This window comes from Homo sapiens, chromosome 4 (genome assembly GCF_000001405.40).
Source record: "Homo sapiens chromosome 4, GRCh38.p14 Primary Assembly".
Classification (NCBI taxonomy): Eukaryota; Metazoa; Chordata; class Mammalia; order Primates; family Hominidae; genus Homo; species Homo sapiens.
The window spans coordinates 68,921,382-68,927,418 of record NC_000004.12 but is presented as its reverse complement, the minus strand read 5'-3'; the positions used below and the strand labels follow the sequence as shown (position 1 = coordinate 68,927,418).

Genomic DNA, 6,037 nt, shown 5'->3' with positions numbered 1-6,037 from the left:
TCAGGAAAAAAATATCCTTAGTCATCACATTTCCCACAGGAGTGAAAGGAGAGTGAAATGTGGTCTAATTTTCCGGCTCCTTAGGGGACATCCCAAGGGTCTGATTTCTGTCACCGAACTTAAATCACTTATAGAAACCACAGCTTTTGAATGCCTGGGAATAAAGGCAGTGTGGCAGTTTAAAGCAGTAGCAAAAAAGCTGCATTATTACTACAGAATGGCACGAGGGAAAGCAAAATATTACAAAATCCTGAAAACAAACAAACAAAAAAATCCTATTTAACTTGGTAATTACATTCAAAAGCCCTGAGAGGATACAGCTCTTGGAAACGTTTGCCAAGCTCCCAGAATCTCTAGCTGGGGTGATAGATGAAGGTATTTCCCTACACTAAGCCAGTACATAAAGACTTGGAGATGTGGGTGTTTCTTTAAATCTCAAAATTTAAACAAAGAAATGCAAAACATGCAGACACCAGAAAGTATGACCTATTTAAAGGAACAAAATAAACATTTTTTAAAGCCTGAATGAACAAAGATCTATTAATTACTTGTCAAAAAATTCAAAATATATTAAATACCTATCAAAAATTTCAAAAATAATTAAAGATGCTCTATTAGCTAAAAGAACACAGACACATTTTTGAAAACCAGGAAAATAATACATATATGAAATAAGAGTATCAATAAGACATAAAAAGTATAGAAAGGAACCAAATAGAAATTCTGGAGCTAAATAATACAAAAACTAAATTGAAAAATTTACTAGAGAAATTCAATAGATGACTTGATCAGCTAGAAAAAATAATTCATGAATTTGAAAATATTGGCCATTTGAAACTATTAAGGGAGAGGAGCAAAAAGAATATGATAATAAAGTGAAGAAAGCCTGACACTTATGGGACATTGTTAACCAGACCAGTTATGCATTACGAGAGCCCTCATGGGACAAGAGGAAAAGATTGAGGCAAAAAGTCTATTTAAAGAATTAATGGCAGGCAGAAAATTTCCCAAATTTGAGAAAAAATATGGATGTAGAATTGTTTTAAAACACAACTACTGTACACTGAAATCAATTCAAAAATTTTACACCAATAAATATTATAATCAGTCTTTCAAAAGTCACAGACAAAGAATATTGGAAGCAGAAAAAGAAAAAATGGATCATGACATAAAAGGGAATTCACATGATATCAACAAGATACAAGAGGATATCTTTTTAAACCAAAAGTAAGCGACATAATATATTCAAAGTATTGAAAGAAAAATAAGAAAAAATCCCTACCACACAAGACATTCATTTGGCAAACCTGTCATTCAGAATGGAAAATGGAATATTTTCTCAGGTTAAAAAAAAAGGTTGAAGAAGGTAATTATTACCACACCCGTTCTACAAGAAAAGCAAAAAGGAGTCATTCAAGTTGAAATGAGGGAGGCTAGGTAGCAAAATGAATGAATGTAAAAGTATAAATCTATCTGGTAAAGATAAATAAATAATTAAATATAAAGTCACATAAGTTTTTAATGTTGATGCACAAGTTAATTTTAATTCTGATATGCAATTTAAAAGAGAAAAGCATAAAAGTAACATTACATTTATATTAATTGGGACAGAAGATAAAATATATAACTAGTGATATTACTAACATAAAGTAGAAATGGGAGATGTAAAGAAATACAGTTTTCATATATAATTAAAGGTTTTTTTGGTTTAAAATGGACTGTTATTTTAAAATATTTTAATGTTATTTATTATTTATTTATGCTTTATTTTTTATAATTTATAATTATTTTTCATTAATTATGTAAAATAATTTAATTCTATATTTTTATTTTATTTCTATTTTATTTATGTATTTATTTTTTAAAATATTTTTATTACACAATGTTTATTATAAAATTTTTTATACAATCCTCATGGTAAGCACAAAATATACCTATAGAACAAGAGTGTCCAATCTTTTCAATCTTTTTTTTTTTTTTTTGAGACGGAGTCTCGCTCTGTCGCCCAGGCTGGAGTGCAGTGGCGCGATCTCGGCTCACTGCAAGCTCCACTTCCCGGGTTCACGCCATTCTCCTGCCTCAGCCTCCCGAGTAGCTGGGACTACAGGCGCCCGCTACCACGCCCGGCTAATTTTTTGTATTTTTAGTAGAGACGGGGTTTCACCGTGTTAGCCAGGATGGTCTCGATCTCCTGACCTCGTGATCCGCCCGCCTCGGCCTCCCAAAGTGCTGGGATTACAGGCGTGAGCCACAGCGCCCGGCCAAGAGTGTCCAATCTTTTGCCTTCCCTGGACCACAGTGGGAAAAGAAGAATTGCCTTGGGCTACACTTAAAATACACTAACACTAGCCATAGCTGGTGAGCTGAGAAAAAAATAGCAAGAGAAATCACAACGTTTTAAGAAAGTTTACAAGTTTGTGTTGGGCCGTATTCAAAACCATCGTGTGCTGCATGCATACACATATTTACATGAATACCCTTAGTAGAGGCCAGCTATCTTCATATTATACATTGTCTTGATAAGAAACTGAGTGACTGAGTCAGTTAAAAGACATAATTTACTCCAATAATTCCTGTTAATACTTGATTTTCTCTCTTTAGTAATTTGTACCAATTTTTTCAGTAGTGCCTGCTGTGCTGTTACTCTTTTGTGATGGAACAAATTCTTTTTTCACAGGAAATGGAAGAGTTTTTCCAGAGCTCTGGAGAAAATGGTGTTGTAGTGTTTTCTCTGGGGTTAATGGTCAGTAACATGAAAGAAGAAAGGACCAATATAATTGCATCAGCTCTTGCCAAGATGCCGCAGAAAGATAGATAAAGTGCCTTACTGGTATGGAAAACTACTAAAAGAGGCTGTTAAATTCTGTAAAGAATCCAATTATAGAAATTTCCTGCCTAGAAATGTAGCTGTTGGGAAAGCACTAATTATCAGATATTAGTTCAAGATCAGAAATATACATGGAAGATGCTAAAATAATACAAAGGGTATATTCATGGATAAATACATTTGGCACTAATATTGTGATCAGGAATAAATATATTAAGAGGGGTAGGTAAAGTTTTGGTATTACCATGATATTGGGGTCAGGATATCACCAAATTCTTTCCTTGTTATTTGATCCTTATGTTTAAGGATTCCTAAGGACATTGTACATGCTACAGATGTTATCAGAAGAAGTTACATTTTAATGGGTGACTTCACTAGCACAATAACAATAGCAGGTATTTCAAAATGTCTAACATGCATCATGCAGTTTAGGCTTGCCATGTAATCCGGCCTCGTATACTTCCTCTACATTTTGGAATAGGCCTATCTGAGTGATGTTCAGGGTACTATTCAGAGAAAGAATGGCCTAGGTTGACAGATTAGTCCAAGTTCCCACCCAGCCAGGTAGATTTAGAGAAAGAGAAAAAAAGCAGCCTCCCCTGCTGGACTGGGCCCAGCCAGTGTCTGAAACAGGAAGATTAAAGAGAAAGGATGGAGATAGATCCTGACCTGAAGGTGAATCCTATGCTGTATAAAATGTGGCCCCACAAGGACGCAGCCCTAACTATGAGATTAACAACTCCACCCAGTGGAGGCAGCAGAAGGAAATATAGGAAAGGGTCAAACAGAAGGAAGCCAGGCAGGGGAACAGGTTCAGATGCCCCCTCCGTAGAACATAGTAGAAACATATTTTCTTTTATATAGAATAAAATGATGACATAGGTGTATTTGTCAATTACTTTTTAGTTCCGTATTATCTGATATAGTCTTCTTGTAATGACCTATACTAACATTTTTGCTGAAAACTCAGTTATTTTAATACTGATATAACAAGTAAAAGTTAAACACTGTAAATTATTCTTCAGTTGATGAGGATTGCTTGGGAGTTCCAAAATTAGTAACTTAAACATAAAAATGTCTTGGCTATAATAGAACATATTAATCACTATTGTCAAAGCTTTGTAGCACATTGTCTAAGTGTTAACAATCATTTGACCAAATTCAGAAAAATACAATTTTGAATTTATTCAACAGCTATATCTTTATTTATGAATAAGATTCCTTATTTCAGTGCTGAAAAAACAACCAAAATTAGCAATACTGATAATAGTCTGAATTTGTCTCAAAAATTTTCCCTTGAAATTTCTCCTGGAAGTAGTGCTTGATAATTCATAATTCCAAAGAACTTATACATGCTACCTTTGTAGCATTAATTTATTTCTTATAAGTAGCTTATTTTATCTACTTGCATTTTTATCAATCAGAGGACACCAGACTCTAATATAATAACTTACAGACAAGCAGAAATACATGAACTACTTCCCATGTTACTAAAAAATGAATAAATTAATACTTAATTTGGAAGATGAAAACTAGTATAAATACATAAAATAACACAGGTCAATACTAGATTGTTACTGCTTTTTCTCACTAGAATTATAATGACTATTTAAATTTTTTATACATATAATTTTTTAGAATTATGTGTTTAAAATTAATTTTATTTTTTAACATTTAAGTTCAGGGGTACAGGTGCAGCTTTGTTACATAGATAAACTTGTGTCATGAGGGTTTGTTTTACAGATTGTTTTCTCACCCTGGCATTAAGACCAGTACCCATTAGTTATTTTACATGATCTTCTCTCTCCTCCTGCCCTGCAGCCTCCAATACACCCCAGTGTATGTTGTTCCCTGCTCTGTTTCCATGTGTGCCGAGACCAGCTAAGTCGGGGAGACCCTAATCCAGTGGTGCCAGAGGAATTAAAGACACACACACAGAAATATAGAGGTGTAAAGTGGGAAATCAGGGGTCTCACAGCCTTCAAAGCTGAGAGCCCCAGAGATTTACCCACGTATTTATTAACAGCGAGCCAGGCATTAGCATTCTATCTATAAATATTCAATTAACTAAAAGTATCCCTTATGGGAAATGGGATTAACTAAAAGCATCCCTTATGGGAAATGAAGGGATGGGCCAAAATAAAGGAATAGGTTGGGTTAGTTAACTGCCGCAGGAGCATGTCCTTAAGGCACAGATTGCTCATGCTATTGTTTGTGGCTTAAGAATGCCTTTAAGCAGTTTTCCACCCTGGGCAGGACAGGTGTTCCTTGCCCTCATTCTGGTAAACCCACAATCTTCCAGCATGGGCATTATGGCCATCATGAACATGTCACGGTGCTGCACAGATTTTGTTTATGGCCGTTTTGGGGCCAGTTTATGGCCAGATTTTGGGAGGCCTGTTCCCAACACATGTGTTCTCATCTTTTAGTTTCCACTTTATAGTGAGAACATGTGGTATTTGGATTTCTGTTTCTATGCTAGTTTGCTAAGGATAACGGCCTCCAGTTCCATCTATGTCCCTGTAAAATACAAAATCTTGTTTTTTGTTTATGGCTGCATAATATTCCACGGTGTATATGAACCCCATTGTGTTTTCTTTATTCAGTCAATCATTGATGGGCATTAAGGTTGATACCATGTCTTTACTATTGTGAATACTACTGCTATTAATAAACGTGTATGTGACTTTATAAGAAAATGATTCATCATCCTTTGGATATATACCCACTAATGGGATTGGTGAGTTGAATTGTATTTTAGCCTCTAGGTTTTTGAGGAAGTGCCACACAGTCTTCCACAATGGTTGAACCAACTTACACTCCCATTAACAGAGTATAAGCATTCCTTATTCTACACAATCTCACTAGCATATATTATCTTTTGGGTTAATAATACCCATTATGACTGGTGCAAGATAGTATCTACTGTGATTTTGATTTGCTTTTCTCTAATGAGCAGTGATGGTAAGCTTTTTTTCATGTGATGGTTGGCCACACGTAGGTCTTCTTTTGAAAAGCATAACAATTTTTTAAATACTTCAACTTTTCATTGATAATCTCATTTTTCTAAGCTATTATTTGGAAAATCTTGATTTCCTTATATACTTAACTAATTATAAAAGTTAAGAAAATGAAATGTTAGCATTCTGTTTACATCAGTCTTTGAGTAGTTTTATTACCTAACATCCCCTGCTCTCATTCTTAATCTCT

General features: G+C 34.5%; 1 pseudogene; it reads left to right on the top strand.

Moving 5' to 3' along the window:
* Positions 1 to 2,275: 2,275 nt before the first annotated feature.
* The window catches only part of LOC101927264 (UDP-glucuronosyltransferase 2B10-like), an 11,258-nt pseudogene continuing 7,496 nt past the window's right edge, over positions 2,276 to 6,037 (top strand).